This window comes from Homo sapiens, chromosome 5, assembly GCF_000001405.40.
Source record: "Homo sapiens chromosome 5, GRCh38.p14 Primary Assembly".
NCBI classification, from domain to species: Eukaryota; Metazoa; Chordata; class Mammalia; order Primates; family Hominidae; genus Homo; species Homo sapiens.
In genome coordinates, this window is record NC_000005.10 from 152,697,356 (window position 1) to 152,719,978 (window position 22,623).

The 22,623-nt window shown below is 36.0% G+C and overlaps 1 long non-coding RNA gene across 1 annotated transcript in view, besides 1 other annotated feature; it reads right to left on the reverse strand.

Moving 5' to 3' along the window:
* Positions 1-22,623, reverse strand: part of LINC01470 (long intergenic non-protein coding RNA 1470) — a 353,385-nt gene that overhangs the window by 78,391 nt on the left and 252,371 nt on the right. The gene's annotated exons all lie outside the window — the stretch shown is intronic.
* Positions 12,418-12,587: an enhancer, noted in NCBI's record as "experimental_83142 CRE fragment used in MPRA reporter constructs". NCBI's record gives its function as "activates a minimal promoter by MPRAs in K562 erythroleukemia cells, with activity observed for the non-introgressed 5:152089418 variant allele {active_cell/tissue: K562}" and the evidence as "EXISTENCE:reporter gene assay evidence [ECO:0000049][PMID:34662402]".

The window sequence follows — 22,623 nt, forward strand, 5'->3', positions numbered from 1 at the left end:
ATATTATATATTATATTATATATATTATATATTATATTATATATTATATATTATATTATATATATTATATATTATATTATATATATTATATATTGTATATGTATATTATATATATTATATATTATATATGTATATTATATATATTATATATTATATATGTATATTATATATTATATATATTATATATTATATATGTATATTATATATTATATATATTATATATTATATGTATATTATATATGTATATATACATATATGTATATAATATATGTATATTATATGTATATAATATATGTATATTATATGTATATAATATATATGTATATATGTATATAACATATATACACATACATATATACATAATATATATACATAATATATATGTATATATACATATATACTATGTATATATGTATATTATATACATATATATGTATATATGTATATTATATACATATATATGTATATATGTATATTATATACATATATATGTATATATGTATATTATATACATATATATGTATATATGTATATATGTATATATGTATATTATATACATATATACGTACGTATATATGTATATATACATATATACGTATATATGTATATATGTATATTATAAATGTATATATTATATATTATATTTATATATATTATATATAAATATATATTTATATGTATTTTATATATTTATTATATATTTTAATATATTATAAATATATTTTATATATTTATAATATATAAAAATATACTATATATATTTATATATCAATAAATATACATTTATAATATATATAATATATATTATACATATATATGTATATATTATACATATATATGTATATATTATACATATATATGTATATATTATACATATATATGTATAATATATTATATATATGTATAATATATTATACATATATACGTAAATACATATACATATATACGTATATACATATACATATACATGTGTATATGTATACATATATGCATATATGTATATGTACATGTATATGTATACATGTACATATACAATATAATATACGTATATAATATATGTGTTATATATATTATACATATATAATATATATAATATATTATATACGTATATATGTGTTATATATAATACATATATTTTATATATATGTATTATATATTACATATTCACCTAAGTGAATTCTATGGTGAATTCTATGTCTTGGCCATTGTGAATGGTGCTGCAATACGCATGGGAGTGTAGATATCTCTTCTCTATACTGATATCCTTTCTCTTGGATATCTGCCTAGCAGTAGGATTGCTGAATCTTACGGTAGTTCTATTGTTAGGATCCCATCCAGAATACCACATTTAGGTGTTATGCCTCCTGAGGCTCCTCGTCACTGTGACAGTTTCTCAGACTTTCTTTTTTTGAGACGGAGTTTTGCTCTTGTCACCCAGGCTGGAGTGCAATGGCGCGATCTTGGCTCACTGCAACCTCTGCCTCCCAGGTTCAAGCGATTCTCCTGCTTCAGCCTCCCAAGTAACTGGGATTACAGGTGCCTGCTACCATGCCCAGCTAATTTTTGTATTTTTAGTAGAGACGGGGGTTTCACCATGTTGTCCAGGCTGGTCTCGAACTCCTGACCTCAGGAGTGATCTGCCCACCTTGCCCTCCCAAAGTGCTGGGATTACAGGCGTGATCCACAGCTCCTGGTCCAGACTTTCTTCATTTGTGATGACTTTGACAGTTTTGAAGAATACCAGTCAGGTTTCATAGAATGCCCCCTACTGAAATTTGGTTGGTATTTTTCTCATAGTTTTACTGGGGTGATGGGATTTTCTGGGAAGAGGACCACAGAGATAAAGTGCCATTTGCATCATATCATATTAGTATATACTATCAACATGAAGTGTTGGTTAGATTTCTGTACTATACAGTTATGCTTTTTCACACTTTCCCTACTGTGTTCCTTGGAAGGAAGGTCACTATAGTCCATGCTTAAGGAGTAGGAAGTTTTGCTCCCACCCCTTGAGGATGGAATATCTACATAGGCTATTTGGAATTCTTCTGCATGGGGGATTTGTTTCTTCTCCCTCAAATCTTTATTCAGCCATTTATTTATGTAAGTATGAACTCATTAATTTTTATTTTATACTTTGGATCATAATCCAGTACTGTATGAATCTCCTGGTTTGTTTAACCATTCACCTATTGAAGGACATCTTGGTTGCTTCCATTTATTGACAATTATGAAGAAAGCTGTCCTAAACATCCGTGTGTAGGCATTTGTGTGGGCATAAGTTTTCAAGACAGTTGGAAAAACCTCAGCATTGTGACTATATTTGGCTTTGGAAGAAAATGACAAACTGTTTTCTCAAGTGACTGTACCATTCTGCATTCCCACTAGCAAGGAATAAGAGTTCCTGTTGTCCTGAATCCTTGCCAGCACTTGGTATTGTTATCTTTTACAGTATTACCCATTCTAATAGATATACAGTGGTATATCATTGCCATTTTAATATCTTCAAATTTTTATGCTCTTCCTCAGGATATGAAAATTCTGCCTTATTTTTATATGTTTACACCCTTAAAAGCCAATTTCAATGTCATTTACTCCATAAAGTATCTCTCCAACATTTCCCTTCCTAACAAGATGAACTTCTACCTTCACTAAATTTAACATTCAACATTACCTTGATATTTGAAAGTGACTATGAGATCTTCAAGAACCATGTTATCATTTTCCGCATAAAATTCAACATTCTAAAATGAGATACCATCTCACACCAGTTAGAATGGCAATCATTAAAAAGTCAGGAAACAACAGGTGCTGGAGAGGATGTGGAGAAATAGGAACACTTTTACACTGTTGGTGAGACTGTAAACTAGTTCAACCATTGTGGGAAGTCAGTGTGGCGATTCCTCAGGGATCTGGAACTAGAAATACCATTTGACCCAGCCATCCCATTACTGGGTATATACCCAAAGGACTATAAATCATGCTGCTATAAAGACACATGCACACATATGTTTATTGCGGCATTATTCACAATAGCAAAGACTTGGAACCAACCCAAATGTCCAACAATGATAGACTGGATTAAGAAAATGTGGCACATATACGCCATGGAATACTATGCAGCCATAAAAAATGATGAGTTCATGTCCTTTGTAGGGACATGGATGAAATTGGAAACCATCATTCTCAGTAAACCATCGCAAGAACAAAAAACCAAACACCGCCTATTCTCACTCATAGGTGGGAATTGAACAATGAGAACACATGGACACAGGAAGGGGAATATCACACTCTGGGGACTGTTGTGGGGTGGGGGGAGGGATAGCATTGGGAGATATACCTAATGCTAGATGACGAGTTAGGGGGTGCAGCGCACCAGCATGGCACATGTATACATACGTAACTAACCTGCACATTGTGCACATGTACCCTAAAACTTAAAGTATAATTATAATAAATTAAAAATAAAAATAAAAATAAAAAAATAAAAAAAAATGTGTCAACACTTTAGATGCTTACTGATAACTACCATGTAGATGGCAGTGAATAGGAAGCAATAAGGACACCTTGAAGCAGAGGTATTGGGAAGGCAACTTAGTTCATTTACCAATGCTGCAATTCATTGCACGTACTAGTCTTACCCTACAGGGGATTCAATCATCTCCTCAAGTTCTATACTGCCATGGGCCACTGCAGGAACTTTTGAATTGTTGAAATTATGAATATTAAATCCATGAATGCAAAGAGTCTGCAGAACATTACCCAGGGCATACTTTTTTTTTTTCATCATAGTGATTTTTGCTCATGTCTTATTTCATTTTTAGACTGTAGAGACTTGAGGATAGAATATTTCTCTAATTTTATATTCAGTAAATATTTACAAATAAATATAAGTAGTACGATAGAGTTTTAAAAGGAAAGAAATATTCTTTCTTACAACAGAATTAGCTGGACTTTAACTGATTCCTTGAGATTTTAAAAAAGCCTCTGAAAGATAGTAACATAACACTAAAATAGACCATAAATTTAGTCATCTTATAGAGAAAGCAGCCCCTGTATTAATATCAAAGCCCTTGGGAGAGACATGTGTTTCCTTTGTTCCCATAAAGGCCATGGCTAGGGAGTGAGTGATGGTGCTGAAGTGATCAGCTTGCTCATTGCCATGGCAATGTAGCCACTCCTGCTGCGGTCAGCAAGTTCCCAGCTCTGCCTCTGCAGATTGAAGCCACCCACCTGATTTTTCTCTGTTTTTCCTACCTGACATGGTGCCTTTTATTGAACACAAGTCAAGGTTGGGAAATTTTGTCTCTGCCAGTGGGCTCATCAGGTGCCAGAGTACAGGTAAGCATAAAAGGATGGCTGGGGAAAGAGAAGCTGATAACCTCAGAGAATTGCTGTAGGTTATCTCTGACACTCAGCTAGGGATCCTCTGTCTCTTTTTTTACAAAGAGCAAAAGCAGTTTCAAGGAGACACTTCTCATGAAAATCCTCCTCAGCCCTAAATACGTGGTTCTATGTTCTGAGTGTTTCCAGAAGACAAATCCAGAACACAGGTGACTCCACAGACCTAAGACAGTAAAGAAGGGTCTTAAGTCAGCAAAGTCAGTGTCCCTGCAGATTCCTAAAGTTTTGCCACATTCAGGGCTGATCTTGGTGAAGGAAAGGGGAATAAGCCTCTGGAGGCATTTGAGGGAGTTGTAAGTCATCCCCTAGTTATCAAAGAGAAAGCATTTCTTTTCCTATTCAATAGTATTTTTGAGCATCTACTCTATGGCAGCCCTGGAGATACAACATAAATTAAGACAGATGTGTCTTGTCCCTCACAAATTAAGTAGATCTTCAAATTCTAATTGTTAACTACTCCCTTGGGTTACATAATTTATAAGTCATCTATAATTCATACATTTCTCGACATTAACACTATTATCAGTAATTCTAATGACAAAATCTCTATATATTTAGAGTACTTTATGACTGTCACAAAATTCAGGATTTCCTAAATCAACCCTGGGAAATTTTCATCTCCATTTTGTAGTTGAGAAGACTGAGGCTCAGAGAGTGCCTGACTTGCCCAAGTCCAAACAGTAGGCTTTCAAGATGTGGTCTGAAAACTACTAGCATTAGAATTTCCTGGGGAAGTAGTTTTTGAAAATGGACTTTTAGCAGCCGCCTCGCTTTCCACTGGATCAAGTCTATGGAGGTGGACTCAGGAAACTTCATTTTTCAGTGGTTCTAACTGTCCACTCACTAACTACTGCCGTATACCTTAGTTCATTCGGGATTTTAACTCAGATCTTCTGAGCCTTTTACACTTTCCACCCTATCATGGTGACAGCATGACCTGGGAGAAATGCTGTCTCTTGGTAACCTGAAGCATATTTGAGACTTAGTGTATCTTTCTCAGTACTTTCCTAGCTAAATGCTTCCTTGGAAAGGAAGCCTTCAGAATGCTGATTCAGGTTTTTTTTTTTTTTTTTTTTTTTTTTTTTAAAACATCAACCATCCTTCACCCATAAAGGCTGACCCCTTAAAGCACAGCACTGCTGTGAAGTGCTCGGATCACCATGAGCCTCTTGTTTTTTTGTTGGTGGCAGCATTTTGTCCCTGGAGTTTTCTGTTTTGACAGTTCATCAGAGCCCTGGAAGGTGGCAGGAACCTCACTATTCAATTAAACCTTAAGTGTCACCAGGGCATGCAGAGGAGAAGGAGGAACCTACGTAGAGGCAGATGAAATAAACGAGGTTTAGCAAGCTGAGTAGCCATTTTTCAAAAGTCAAGAGCTTCCCAAGATTTCAAACATAGTACCTAGATGCAGTGGGATACACTCTATTCTCAAGGCTCGGTTTGCTTGGCTTACATGTACAGATGGTCTCCAACTTAAGATGTTTTGTCTTACGATTTTTTGACTTTAGGGATTCGTTGGAATATTAAATGCATTTTTGACTTATGATATTTTCCACTTATGATGGGTTTATCAGGATGTAGCCCCATCATAAGTTGAGGAGCATCTGTATTGTTCTTTATAAATTATTAAGTATTCCACAAAATAATGATCAATTTAACAAATATTAAATACCTATTATGCTATGGGCATAAAGATTATAACTGCAATGCTACCCTAGTAATAAAGCACTGAGCAGGTACTACAGACTTTTAAAAAGTAATTTAAAGAGCAATGTGCATTTCCATGGAGACATTAAGAAGGGTATTCTGACACCATGTAGCAAGGTAAGTTAACATCACTCAGAGCTTCTCAAAGTGCAGTCTGAGAGCTACCTGGTCAGAAACCCCAAAGGATATTTGTTGGTAAAAATGCACAATGACTGGATCTACCCATAGACACTCTGGGGATGGGACTTAGGAAACTATTTTTTAAACAAACAGAAAGAACTCCTTAGGTCATTCTTTTGCACACACAAGCTGAGAATCACTGAGTAGGGAGTATTGGAAGACGCCAGGAAGTTGTCAAGGAAGACCTTTGTGAAGAAATGGTATGGGTGCAAAATGAAGTTTGAAGATTAAGGTTTAAACTAATGGGATTTGGGCAAAAGCTTCCCAGAAGGAAGTGACAGCATTCATGAAGATGCAACATGATTGGAAAGGAGGCAAAAAGTCCTCTGTGGCTGGAGAATAAGGAGAAATATGGAAAGAGGCAGAGATAAGGCCAAGAATCCAGATGCAGGGCTATGTCAGTATTGCAAAGGATTGGATTTTATTTTAACCCCCTGAAGGGTTTTAGGTGAAGATGGAGCATAGGTAAATTCCTATTTTAAAACAAAAAGCATGAAGAGCTTTTGGGATCTCCAGAGAGGATATTGGGGTACGAGGAGGAGGTTGTGGCAATAATTTGATGAGAAATAATGCTACCTTGGATTAGATCAGAGGCCATGAGAATGGAGAGAAATGATTGGATTTAAGAAGTATCAAGGAGGTAAAAATCAAGGTAATTCAGGGTTCCTGTAGATACAAATTGCCACCATGAGCATGTAGACTCTCTCTTGAACTTTAAGTACAGCAGTGGAGAGGATCTGTTGCTGCAGTGATGAGAACATGTTCTTTTCAAGGGACCTCCTGCCAACTCTCTCCCTTGTGGCCAAGGACATGCTTTGGTTTGGATAAGAAAATGCTGACTGGGGTAAAATTCTCAGTTCAAGGGGTCAGAAGACCTTCAGTTTGTTTCAGGTTCTGGCTTTAATCTCTTAGGCCCTGGCAGGATGGCTAACAGCAGGCTGATTCACTGTTACATGACAGCGGATGAGTACACTTGAGAAAGCTATGATCCCTGCCCTCATAGGACTCACTCTTTGAAATATGGGTATGTGAATGTGATACATACAAGGGAAAAAGTAGAAGAACGCAGTGACTATTTAGATATTAACAGTGAAGGTAAGGAGAAAAGTCTAGAAGGATTCACATGAACTAGTTTGGATACCTGGATGTTGGGAGCAGGCCCCCCCAAAACTGGCCATAAACGAAATCTCTGCAGCACTGTAACATGTTCATAATGGCCCTAACGCCCACGCTGGAAGGTTGTGGGTTTACAGGAATGAGGGCAAGGAATACCTGGCCTGCCCAGGGCAGAAAACCGCTTAAAGGTATTCTTAAGCCACAAACAATAGCATGAGTGATCTGTGCCTTAAGGACATGCTCCTGCTGCAGTTAACTAGCCCAACCTATTCCTTTAATTTGGCCCATCCCTTGGTTTCCCATAAGGGATACATTTAGTTAATTTAATATCTATAGAAGAATGCTAATGACTCGTTTGCTGTTAATAAATATGTGGGTAAATCTGTGTTCAGGGCTCTCAGCTCTGAAGGCTGTGAGACCCCTGATTTCCCACTTCACACCTCTATATTTCTCTGTGTGTGTCTTTAATTCCTCTAGTGCCGCTGGGTTAGGGTCTCCCTGACTGAGCTGGTCTTGGCACCTGGATGTGTGGGGTTACTATTAACTTAGGTAAAGAAATCTACAGAAGAAAATGAGGCCTTACAAATAAGGCAAGTTCAATTTGGGGCATCTAAACTACAATGCAAGACATGCAAATGAGAATGTTTAGTGGGTGATGGGCTACAGAATTTCACGATTTTGAAAAGAGGTCTAAGTCAGAGGCATCGCATGTCATTTCGAAAACTACCTTAAAACTTTTAAACAAATGAATGGCATATGAATAAATAAAATTCAACTAACAAAAGCTGTTGTTTATAGCAAAGTGCCAGTCTCATTTCTAAGTGCTTTGATTTATTTAATCTTCATGCCAATTCTATGGACTAGATACTCCTATGATTCCCATTTCAAAGATGAGGCACAGAAAGTTTGAGCATCTCATCCAAGGTTACACAGGCAGCAAATAGTAGGGATAATAGCATTGCAACCCTTACAGTCTGGATCTATTGCCTTTGCTTTCAAAATGAGTTTCTTCTGCCTGTCACAAACACAGTCAATGCCATAGCTGTCAGGACATCCTCCATCAGATTTCCCCTCTCCCTCACTCTAGAGCTTCTAAATGTCTTGACCAGAGATCTTGCTTTATTGGTCTTTTATTTATTATTTAATAAGTAAAGACACTGAGGGACTGAGGGGTAAAATTACTTCCATATAGTCACATTGTTGGGGAGTGGGTGAGCTGGTATTTGAACTCTGCTATTTCCTGGACTTATAAATTTAACTTCTACATATACTCATTACACAAAACCATAATTTTTAGTGCAACTTTTTGATTACTACCAGGGTAAAAAGGAAGAATGGCCATTGGTCTGGGAATTAGGTAAAGTGAATTACAGTCTAGGAAATTTTTATTTTTTTAAGTTCTGGGATACAAGTGCAGAATGTGTAGGTTTGTTACATAGGTATACAGTATTATGGTGGCTTGCTGCACTTATCAACCCATCATCTAGGTTTTAAGCCCCACATGCATTAGCTATTTGTCCTAATGCTCTCCCTCATCTCATTCCCCACTCCCTGACTGGCCCCTGTGTGTGTTGTTCCCCTCCCTGTGTCCATGTGTTCTCATCGTTCAACTCCCATTTATGAGTGAGAACATGCAGTGTTTGGTTTTTGTTCCTGTGTTAGTTTGCTGAGGATTATGGCTTCCAGCTTCATCCATGTGCCTGCAAAGGACATGATCTCATTCTTCTTTATGGCTGCATAGTATTCCATGGTGTATATATACCATATTTTCTTTATTTAGTCTATCAATCAGTGATGGGCATTTGGGTTGGTTCCATGTCTTGGCCACTGTAATTAGTGCTGCAATAAACATACATGTTCATGTATCTTTACAGTAGAATGATTTATATTCCTTTGGGTTTATATCCAGTAATGTGATTGCTGGGTCAAATGGTATTTCTAGTTAGAGATCCTTGAGGAATCACCACACTGTCTTCCACAGTGTTTGAACTAATTTACATTCCTACCAACAGTGTAAAAGTGTTTGTTTCTCCACAGCCTCATTAGCATCTATTGTTTCTTGACTTTTTAATAATCATCATTTTAACTGCTGTGAGATAGCATCTCACTGTGGTTTTGATTTGCATTTCTCTAATGATCAGTGATGTTGAGCTTTTTTTTTTTTTTTGTATGTTTGTTGGCCGCATAAATGTCTTCTTTTGAGAAGTGTCTTTGACCACTTTTTTGATGGGGTTGCTTGATTCTTGTAAATTTGTTTAAGTTCCTCATAGATTTTCCCACTTTTTGATGGGGTTGCTTGATTCTTGTAAATTTGTTTAAGTTCCTCATAGATTCTGGATATTAGACCTTTGTCAGATGGATAGATTGCACCCATTCTGTGGGTTGGCTTTTCACTCCGATGATAGTTTCTTTTGCTGTGCAGAAGCTCTTTAATTAGATCCCATTTATCAATTTTGGCTTTTGTTGCAATTGCTTTTGGCATTTTCATCATGAAGTCTTTGCCCATCCCTATGTCCTGAGTGGTACTGCACCTGGATTTTCTTGCAGGGCTTTTATGGTTTTGGGTTTTACATTCAAGTCTTTAATCTATCTTGAGTTAATTTTTGTATAAGGTGTAAGGGTAAGGAAGGGGTCCAGTTTCAGTTTTCTGCATATGGCTAGCCAGTTTTCCCAGCACCATTTATTAAATATGGAATCCTTTCCCCATTGCATGTATTTTTGTTTTTCCAGGTTTTTTGAAGATCAGATGGTTGTAGATGTGTTGTGTTATTTTTGAGGCCTCTGTTCTGTTCCATTGGCCTATATGTCTGTTTTGCTACCAGTAGTTTGGTACCAGTAGCTGTTTTGGCCACTGTAGTCTTGTAGTAAAGTTTGAAGTCAGGTAGTTTGATGCCTCCAGCTTTGTTCTTTTTGCTTAGGATTATCTTGGCTATATGGGCTCTTTTTGGTCCCATGTGAAATTTAAAGTAGTTTTTTTCTAACTCTGTGAAGAATGTCAATGGTAGTTTGATGGGAATAGCATTGAATCTATAAATTACTTTGGGCAGTATGGCCATTTTTATGATATTGATTCTTCTTATCCATGAGCATGGAATGTTTTTCCATTTGTTTGTGTCATCTCTTATTTCTTTGAGCAGTGGTTTGTAGTTCTTGAGGAGGTCCTTAGTCTAGGAATTTTGATTAAATATGTGATGTTAGATATATAACATTTGGTCCTTCTTAAGTAAAAGCTTAAAGATAAGATTAAGACTTAGATTAGACAGCCTATCAAGCTTTAGGACTTTTATGATTTTTAAATAAATTATTATAGAAAGAGGAAAAACATTGGGCCACTACAGAAAGCATCAGAACTAGCTTTAAAATACCACATTATTGTTGTTAAGTAGAGACTTCTTTAAATGTAATATCCCACTTGACCCTCCCCACCAGCGTATGAGGTGGTATTATTATTAATCATCCCTGCCCCCATCTTTTTACAGAAAAGGGAGCTTACCCTTAAGTAAATAAGCTTCTCAAGGACACACACAGGTAGTGAAGGACAGAGACATTTCAAATCCAGGTTTATCTAATGCCCAACTCTTAAACAATATGTGTCATTTCTTGTTGATTTATTGTAGAAGTGATTCCATTAAAATTGGGGCTTGATCAAGACACAGTTGGCTCAGGTAAATTTACCCTAGCAAACTGTTTGCATAAGACCAGTGAGTGAGGTATGCCACAAAATGAAAGCACTTCTTCCTTAGTGAGAACAGGGTTATTCATGCCTCTTCATCTGCTCTAAGTTCTCCAGCTTGCTCCTGATTATGCTGAAAAACACTGCAGTAGGCTCTACTACATTGACTGTGTGTTATGGAGAAGTACAAAACTGACTGTTTCGACTGTGATTTGGGCCTTGGAATAAAAATAGGTGCTAGGAAACATGTAATAGTGTGTTGGATAGAGAGTTAAGTTTACACAAATATACCTCTTCATATGGACTCACAGCAAGGTCTTCTGCCTGCTTCTTCACTAGATTTATTTTTAGTTTTGGCATTTTGAATTCTTACATTTAAAAATGATCTTACATATTCTCTGGATTTTAGCATATGTCTGGGAGAATCTTTAGTTGAACAATAAACAGAATGAACAAATGAAAGGTTGGGAAAAGAGAAAACAAGGCAGGACTGGTACTATGGATGAAATAAGTGATAGTATAATTTCTGGTTGCTTGAAGGCTTTTCTTCCCCTGATTGTATAGCTTTAATTGCCTCAATTAGTGAGTCATTTGGTCCTTGGGGTACTTCCTCTTTGAAAATGAAAATGACTATTAAAGTCCAGAAATGGCCATTCATGACTTAGTATCAATTAGTTTATGCAATTTGCTTCCTAATTTTTAGACTACTTCCTGAATTAGAAGAGCCTAAAAAATCACCTCATATAATCTCTCACATCAGTGAAGTCACTGAGGGCTAGGAGAGCACAGTAGTTTGATAAAAAATTCACAGGTTTTTTTATAATCAGCCTTATAACCCAAGCAGGAAGACTATCAGTGCACTGCTCTTTTCATCAATATTGTGCTGACGCAGATGTGAAAGTACATGAAAGTTGTGTTATCAAATGGTGTTATTGGCACAACATAATCTATAGTTAAGAGTGACATGGAGACAATACTTTTCAAAAATATTTAACAACATCAAACTACCGATTGAAGAGCTCAGAGAACACCAAACAGAATAAATACTGAAACAAACATACATACATGCCTGGACACATCATATTCAAATTGCTATAAGCTAAAGAGAAAATTTTGAAGGCAGACAGAAAAAAAGAGAACTTCTATAAAGAACAGCAAAAATAAGAAGCAGAATATACTTCTCATGAGAAACTATGCAAATCGGAAGACAAGGGAGTGACATCTTTAATGTGCTGAAATAAGGTGAAGTGAAATACAGCACCATTTGGATTGACAATCAATGTTCATTCAACAAAGAATGGTAGATTGGGGCCAGGCGCGGTGGCTCACACCTGTAATCCCAGCACTTTGGGAGGCCAAGGCGGGTGGATCACGAGGTCAAGAGATTGAGACCATCTTGGCTAACATGGTGAAACCCTGTCTCTAATAAAAATACAAAAATTAGCCAGGCGTGGTGGCAAGCACCTGTAATCCCAGCTATTCGGGAGGCTGAGGCAGGAGAATTGCTTGAACCTGGGAGGCGAAGGTTGCGGTGAGCCGAGATCATGCCACTGCACACCAGCCTGGCAACAGAGCGAGGCTACATTTCCAAAAACAAAACAACAACAACAACAACAACAACAACAACAAAAAAGAATGGTAGATCGATATTTGTCAGTTCTAGGATTATTAGGGGAATTTTTAGTGTTTTTAAGGAAGCACATTTAATATCTAACAAGTAAAATAGCAATATAAAATAGTAATTATAATCACCAACATATTTTGTATAGTTACTATGTAGTAGGAAAATGTTTTCAAATGTGCTCTCCCATATGGTTAAATGTTACCAACTATAAAATTTTAACCATTGTTAAAATTTAGCGGAGTGGTTCTTCTCTGATGAATAGAGAATCCAGAAAGTTTCCTGAAGATCATGGCAAAAAAATATATTTTTTGTTTGGGTCTTATTCCAGGAACTAGAGAGCAAGTATGGGCCTAAGTTAAAAAAATAATAATAAATAAAATAAACCTTCTCCATGTCCAGCAATGATATAGTTATATTGAAATGCAACATAGGTAAGCCTCAGTAATATGTATGGTTTCTTTCACTTCTTGTAGTCTTTGCTACTTTTTAACTTTACTCAAATTATTAAAAATAATCATTTAAAACACTTATGTATGTGTAGCCATGGTCACTAGGTGAGACAATCACTGTTTCTCATGATTTTCAAGGCCATATGTCTTAAGTGCATAAAAACCCAGACTTCAAATCTTCAGCTCTGTTTTACTGGGCTATTATAAGAACCGTTTCCCAGGGGTCATTGCCTTCCTCTTGACAATATAGTCTATCTTTATGAAGGCCAAACACGTGTCTTTTTAAAAACTAAGTGCTTACAATATTCCAGGAACTGCACTTACCACGTTATAAACATTTTCTCATCTAAGCATTATGCATTCCTATAAAGGCGACACTGGCTCTTCTATTTTAAGGATGAGGAAACTGAGGCTAAATGAATTTCTCAAAGGTATAGAGAGTCCACAGCATTATAACAAAGAATGTAAAAACCTGAGTCTGAAGCCTATGCACTTAACCAGAGCATTATATTGTTCTAAAACACTGACCTACCCAATACTGAACTCTATAGCAGTGTGTGGGGCACTAGTACTCACCCTATTTTCTTGAGATGGTAGCCCACAGCCAGAATCTAATGGCACTCATAGGACTGTAATCTAGTTTAAATAACGCAAGTTTATGTATTAAAACTCCTTTTGAGAGCCCTTAATCACTCAACAAATAGTTAATAAGTTTGCACCTGACATTACTTAGCTTTATGATATAGTAATTTTATTGCTAGTGCAGCTCAAGAGTTTCTAGCCATATATCCCAGTCGGTTTCATTTCATCTGTGTTTTTCAAATTGTAGTCCAGGTAACACATTTGTTAAAACCACCATGGCACTGAGCAAAACGGCAGACTCTAGGACCTGATCCAGACCTCCTAAATCAGATTTACTAGGGAGAAGGTAGAGGAATCTGCATTTCTAAGATGTTCCCTAGATAAATCTTGCCTATACTCAAGTTTGAGAACCACTGTAATAAACTATAATCATTAGAAGATAAACCATTTGGGGAAACTTTTGGAGTTGTTAAAAAAGGGGGAGTGGGAGGGGGAAGAGAAATGGTCTAGAACACTGACATTAAATCTTAGTAGTTTTTTGACCCACCAAATGCTTCTTAGAACATATTCTTTCTAAACTATTAAGATTTTCTTCCACATTATCATGAGGTTAACTTTTATTTTCTTCCAACTGAATGCCCTAAATTTCCCATCTTGTTTCTAGTAAAACTCCTATCTGAATGACCCATTTTTGAAATAAATCAGATTTGTTTTTATGCTTAAGAATTTCTAAGATTCTACAACTGGCTTTACATTATCATTTTTACAGCAGAGTTGCCACATGGTTCCAACTTAAAGCAGAAGAATAAAAATGCCTGCCATTCCCCTGCTCCCTATTCAAACACGTCTGTCTCAATTAACTTTTTACAGCCTGCTTTCTTTCTAGGTACTAACCTGAGAAGATTTACTGATCCCAACTAGCTACTGCTGACAATTTGGTTTTCTGTGTGAATGAGGAATTGCATCTCAGCAAGTAACTGGATTGTGTTTTGCAACAGAAAACATAAAATACTTAAGAAGCTAGGAAGCTGCATGTATCCAATATTTCTGTAATTAACAACATTCCGTGCTGTGAATTCTTAAGTTTTGAGAAGGCCACATTCCTTATGTTCCAGATAATAATGGCACATTGTAGAGCTTTCCAGGAAAGAGACCAGAAATAACCACTGAAATGCACAATTCTGAGCTTACTGGTCTCTCAGTGTATGTCATCTCTCAGATCCACAAAGCAACTTAGAATGCAACCAGCCCTTTCTATTTAAAGGTCACTTTACCCTGTAGGACATTCTAGCCATCTCTGGAATCATTATTGGTAATTTTGTAGAAGTACATAGTCATGTTGCCGTAAAAACTCTCTTCTATATATTAAAACCTAAACCTGAGATTGACACGGAAGACTACATCTCACTTTTGCTTCTCCACTTGCAATCATACCTACTATCCTTAGGACTGGAAATAGACTTATATCTAATAACAGTAGTTAGCTTTTTATTAATTTATTTTCATTTTTATATCATAAGAAATAAAATCAGAAAAACTTACTCCAGCTTTTTCCACCCAGAAAAATCACTTTCTCTTCTATATTTATTGAAACTTGAACAGTTTTTATCCCTAGTGGGTACACCTCTTGCTTCTTATTACCTGATTTTTAACAGATGTGGTATAACATTCAGCAAACAGAGTACTGTGTACTGAGCGATGTATCAGGCTGTTATGTTAAATAAAATGAGCATGGCTTTTGCCTTTAGGTACCTTAGAACATAGTGGGGCTAACAGAAATACAAATTTTCACAAAATTCTAAGTGTGTGAGTGTTAGAAAGCAGAGGTAGATGATAACACAGGGGCCTAAAGCAGAGAGATCTGACCAAATCAGAGAAGTCAGAGATGTCCTTGAAGAAGCAAAAGCAGAACCAAAGTCTGAAGGATGGAGCAGGCATTAAGGTGGCACACATTGGTGCAGAAGAGTGCTCCACATAGACAGCACAGCACAGAAAAGCCCTAGGCAGGAAAGATGCTCATAAGGTAAAGGTGGATAGGGTGGTTCACCCACAAAGAGACAGAGAGGGGGTTGATGCAAGATAGTAGGACAAATCTATTCAGGGCTTTCTTTTCTCTCTCTCTCTCTTTTTTAAATGAAAGATTTTTTTAATGGAAGAAATAATCACTTCTATTTATCTATCATTCAGCTTCAACAATTATTAACTTACAGTCAATCTTATTTTATGTATAACTTCTCTTGCACTTGTCCTCAACCTGGCTTATTTTGAAGCAAATCCAAGACATATATTTTTTTTCTTCTATAAATATGTCAGTTTTCATTCTCAAATATAAAGTCTCCTTTAAAAAATTTAACCACAAAACCATTTTCATACTTAGAATATAAACAATATTATTATTAAATCTAGTCAGTGTTCAGACTTTCCCAACTAATATGTATCAACAAATATATGTATATATGTGTGTATAGATGGATAATTTTTTATAATTTAAAAATTAAATAAGGTCCATGCACTGTAATTGGTTGATATATACCCTAAGTCTCATTCTCTCTATGGGTTCCTTCTACATTTTTGGGGTTTTTTTAAATTGATTTGTTGGAGAAGTAACATTTTGTCCTATAGAATTTCCCATGACCTGAAATGCGGATCGACTACCCGTGGTGTTATTTAATACATTCCTCTCTCTCCTGTATTTTTCTGTAAATAATTGGTGGATTAGGGGCTTGATCAGATTCTGCATTGACCATTTGGCAAGAATAACCTCATGGTGGTTCCCTGTAATTCAAGGCGTTGTCTTTCCTTGTGGTTCACAGCCATTGAAGATCATGGCTTAGACCATTATTTCCTCAGGATACACAATCATTCTGCATTCATTTATTAGCTGAAATACTCCTGTAAAGAAAAACTTTCCCCTTATTAACTATTTGGTCCCTGACATATAGTTTGTAAATGGAAGGAAGATATATGGTTGATTCTTTCCTTTAATTTACAAGTTGTCAGAATAATTATCAATGAGGGCTTTTGAAGTATCATTTTAAACACATAGATTTAAACATGTTTGCATTTCGATTCAATTAATAGTTAATACTCAAATTTTTTCACTTTTAGGCAATAGAAAGTACTTCAGGTAATAATCTGGGGTCACTTCCTTGCTTTCAGGTATGACAAAATATTTTGAGTTCATCATGTCCATTAACTATGCCAGATATTAATTTGGCTGTTTACCTAAGAAACTTTGGTTCCTTTATGGGAAATAGTTTGGAGATTACAATACAGGTAATAATAGTGCTGGGGGATCATTGTTTTTAGGACTTCTCATGGATAAAGCTTTATTTTAAAGATGTAATATTTGTGTTTATGCTTTCAATTCATATTTGAGATCACAGGGTTTTTATCTAACCTTTCAGTCTTCCATGTGTATCTCCTTTCTCCCACATTGAGAACACCGATTTTCATGGCACCGAACTAATCACTTTTTGCTGTAATCACCTAATGGACCAGAGAAAAGTCCCAAAGTGACCCCCAAAATTATAATTGCTTAAAACCATTTTAAGTCCTGTTGCAGCCTAGGTTGTCCATAGGGCATATACTCCTAGGGATATATGGTCAAATCACATTGTTTTTTGTCACTTGTTTAACTCCATTATTGTGTCTCTAATTTGATATACAGTTTCATCTTGCTTTAGATTTTAGTATTGCTTTTTATTTACTTCTGTTTCACTGTTATGTAAGTATGTGTATACAAAACACCCCAACCCATATAATGATTTCTATTTGATGATAATTTTTTAATAAAATATGTAAGCCAATACTCATTTATGTTTCAATGTCCCCCTTTTCACGGATAAATGGTAGCATACTTTATGTACTTTTCTTCACCTTGTCTTTTACACCTCATGTATCCCGGAAATCATGTTATAGTAGTTTAAAGAAATACACCACATTTTATCTTTTTTTTTATTATACTTTACTTTAAGTTTTAGGGTACATGTGCACATTGTGCAGGTTAGTTACATATGTATACATGTACCATGCTGGTGCGCTGCACCCACTAACTCATCATCTAGCATTAGGTATATCTCCCGATGCTATCCCTCCCCCCTCCTCCCACCCCACAACAGTCCCCAGAGTGTGATATTCCCCTTCCTGTGTTCATGTGATCTCATTGTTCAATTCCCACCTATGAGTGAGAATATGCGGTGTTTGGTTTTTTGTTCTTGCGATAGTTTACTGAGAATGATGATTTCCAATTTCATCCATGTCCCTACAAAGGACATGAACTCATCATTTTTTATGGCTGCATAGTATTCCATGGTGTATATGTGCCACGGGGATCTAATTAAACTAAAGAGCTTCTGCACAGCAAAAGAAACTACCATCAGAGTGAACAGGCAACCTACAAAATGGGAGAAAATTTTCACAACCTACTCATCTGACAAAGGGCTAATATCCAGAATCTACAATGAACTCAAACAAATTTACAAGAAAAAAACAAACAACCCCATCAAAAAGTGGGTGAAGGACATGAACAGACACTTCTCAAAAGAAGACATTTATGCAGCCAAAAAACACACGAAAAAATGCTCATCATCACTGGCCATCAGAGAAATGCAAATCAAAACCACAATGAGATACCATCTCACACCAGTTAGAATGGTGATCATTAAAAAGTCAGGAAACAACAGGTGCTGGAGAGGATGTGGAGAAATAGGAACACTTTTACACTGTTGGTGGGACTGTAAACTAGTTCAACCATTGTGGAAGTCAGTGTGGCGATTCCTCAGGGATCTAGAACTGGAAATACCATTTGACCCAGCCATCCCATTACTGGGTATATACCCAAAGGACTATAAATCATGCTGCTATAAAGACACATGCACACGTATGTTTACTGCGGCATTATTCACAATAGCAAAGACTTGGAACCAACCCAAATGTCCAAGAATGATAGACTGGATTAAGAAAATGTGGCACATATACACATTTTATCTTACAGCACCCCAAAGGGTAAATGTATTATAGTTTATTTTACCGTTCTCCACTTGATAGACACGTAGGTGGTTTCCTGTCTTTCCATTGCAAAGTTATTCATTTCATACTGTGTTACACATATGTTTTCATATTTTTTGCCAGATTCCTACCGGTGGATGCTGGGTAAAAATATACAAGTATGAGAAATTTTGGGCTGGACACAGTGGCTCACATCCCAGCATTTTGGGAGGCCAAGGTGGGAGGAATGCCTGAGCCCAGGCATTTGAGACCAGCCTGGACAACATAGCAAGACTCTGTCTTTATTAAATTATAATTTTTTAAAAAAGAAAGGTTTATACATATGGCCCATATACCCTCCCTAGGGTTTGTAACAGTTTGAATTCCTACTAACAGTATTCCTACTAACAGTATGTAAGAACAACTTTTTTTCACATAGCTACATCAATCAAGTATGTTGTCAAACCTTCAGATCTTTGTTCATCTGAAAGGTAAATAATGGTACCTTGACAGATTGAAGACAGCCAAGAGTGGAAAGGGTATACCAATCAAACGATATAGATATGGTACGATTGACAATTGGAATAAAGTTAAAGTCACAATATTCAGGAGGAAAAATGATAGGACTTGGTATAGAATCAAACTCAGAGACAGAAAGGAAGGGAGTACCAGAATAAATCTTTTCAAAAAGCCAAAATAGTCTGGGCAACATGGTAAAACCCCACCTCTACAAAACATACAAAATTTAGTTGGGAGTGGTGGCACACCTGTAATCCCAGCTACTCGAGAGGTTAAGCCTTCAGTGATCCAAGATTGCACCACTGCACTGCAGCCTGAGCAACAGAATGAGACCCTGTCTCAAAAAATATAATAATGACAATAAAATAAAAACATAGGAAATAAAATTTTTTTACTTGTAGTTTTCTCACCACCCTTTTAAGAAACAACTTCTAAATGCTTTCTTCTCTATGTGGAACACTATCTTTCTTTTAGTTGTAGAACAGTTTTGAGTGAAATGTTTGTAATATATGAAAATACATTTACTAAAGAAAATTGTGCTGAAATGATATAAATGGGTCAAGATGAACGTATGATATTTGAAATGATCTTAAGGTTTTGTCTGTATAAGGCAATTTTCTAGGTTTAAATTAAGTTTGGCCTAAAGCTGACTTTTTATATATTTTAAGTTCAGCCTAAAGATTTCTCCATACATGATAAACTGCAAGCCAACTTGATGTGTAAAGAGATTATAACCTACATGTCTAACAAGTAGCAGAGTCTTAGCCAATCACAGTAGCCAAATGTCAGTCAATCATAGTCAGCCAGCTGTTCAAGCCAGGTTGAAATAAGGGCAATGTCCATTTGTAACCAATCTAGCTGTTTCTGTACCTCACTTGATTTGAGACAGCCAGGTGGGAGGGGTTCCCTGGAGACACTCCAACCAGCCTGCCCACTGAGGTGGAGCCTTGGGAAGTTCATGACATTTGCAACAGAGAGGAGCCTGGCCCCTCCTCTTCCTGTGGAACCTGGGATTCGAACGGCCAGGCAGGAAGCACTCTAGTAGGGACTGTGGCTTAGCAAGAGTCCCTGTTTCCTCCTTTTCTTCCTTTTCACCCAATAAAACCCTGTCTTACCATTCAAATTGTCTGTGAGCCTAAATTTCTGTGGCCATGAGACAATCCCATCTTTAGCTAAACTAAGGAAAAGTCCTGCAACATGTTTACTGTATGTCACTTTCTTTTTTTTGTCCATAAATTTTATTCAACCACAAGATAGCCCTGGTTCTCCTCTGAACCCACTCTAGGTCCGAGGGGTTGCCTGATTTGTGAATCATTCTTTGCTCGGTTAAATTCTGTTAAATTTGTCTAAAGTTTTACAAGTGGGATCTGAAGTAGAGCTTCTGGTGACCCCCAGGAGCATCATGTGGCCAAGCAAGGTACCTGATGAGCCCACTGTGTCCGTTGCTGTCTCACAGCAACTGGGGAAGGTAAGTTTTTTGTCAAATTTGAAAACTTCAGAGATTTGTATTTTGAGCTATCTGAGTTTGTTCAAGGAAATTTTTTATCCACACTGGGCTAAAACTTGGGACAGAAATTGGACTGATTCTAGCTTTGGATTGGATCCAGAAATTAACTGGATTGGATCTTGTTATAAGCCTCAAATATATAAGTGGGTCACACATAAACTGGCATCAAATGGCAATACTGCAAGGAGTGCAAACTCTGGCTTCCAGAAATTCATAGGGATTTTGTGTTCTATTCTTTTTGTTTCTTTTCCTTGCATGCTTAGATAGGGAAATCTCATTGGCTAAGTTGATCACAAAGATCACAGAGGCAAAGCCAAGATAGAGTATAAAAATGGGACTGTTAATTTCTGAAGAACTTACTCTACCTTCATGCTACACCTACCTTTACATATATGTAGGTATTAGGCCCCAGAGGCAGCAAATGCTTACTAAAATGGCAAAATCTTACTAAACGCAATTTTAAATTATGGTGGAACATTCCAAATGAACAACACTACACTTTAAGAAATGCACTTAAAAATGACAGCTCCCAAAGTAGGCTCACCCAGGGATGCCTATTGATGTGTAGAAACTTATAAAAAGATTTTTATATTTTTATTGCCCCTTTTAAAAGACTTTTTACAAAAGGCAAATAAAAAGCATGAGTGACTAATTGATTTTAAAAATTTGACTGTGTTAACCTGTTGGTTTAGTTACTATCCTGTCCTAAAGGCAAAAAGCAAGTTGAATAAAAGTTTATACATAATGGGACCTCAGGTAAATACATAGGCTTGCTTCCTTCTCAGAGCTATTGGTGTTGAGTCCAGGCATAGACAATGTTTTCTTTGCCTTTTTTCTTAATGGGCTCCACCCTAAACTGAGTAATTTTAGCTAAGAAACAGAAGCTAAGTTAAAAAGACCACCTATGGAACTAAAATCAGTTTCTAAAATACGCCTTTCTGGCACTTAGCTGGTTATTTTGAGGTGCTTTTGTAAAATAAATTTTCATTTACAATAGAAATTTCCATTTGTAAGGATGTCTGCTTCTGTGCACTGGGAACAGAAGGAGGACTGAGTCACTGGAAACACTTACAATGAAAAAGGCATAAATTTCTGTAACAAGACAAACATTGTTTAAAGTGCTTTTTCTGGCCATCTTATCTTAACCAGGCCTTTACCTAAACCCTCCCTTCCTTGGTTTTGGCAAATGATGGTATTTAGGCCGAGCTAGTAAATAGTTTTTAGGAAAGATGAATGGACCCTTGGAAGAATGGGTAATGGTTTGTGTCAAGGTTTGTCTGAATGTGAAGTCTCCTTTCCTGTGATAAAAGTTAATCTTCCATGGTTCCTGGAACACCTAAGGAAAATATTAAGGACAATTAAGTTCCTTTGGAAAATAGACAAGGGGAATTCAAAAAGCCTTGCTTTGTTTAACTATTGGTAGCAATAATATACCAAAGTGACATATTTTAGTGTAGTATTTTCTAAACTTCTTCAATAGTCAGCTTTTTAAAAATAACCAATCCAAGCATAATTGTTAAGAACTAATAATGTAGGTAAAGGCAAATGGCATTAAAATTACCATTGAACTTAGAGTTTCAAAACTCTTTCAGCAATTTAAAATCTTTAAGTAATGTTAAATTAAATAATAGATACTCATTAAATATATGAATAATTTCTAAGCAAGTTAAAATCCTGACACATGAATTATTAAACATAAGTTGTTTATATATTCCAACATCTTGCTTTTATATAGTATACAGAAGCAAAATATATTTGCATATGTTAAGAAACAAAAAATTGAGGAAACATGACTTTCTAAAAATTATAACATGGTTTTCACCTATAAATACTGATATAAAACAGATCAAATTGCTCACTTCCTAGGATTTTC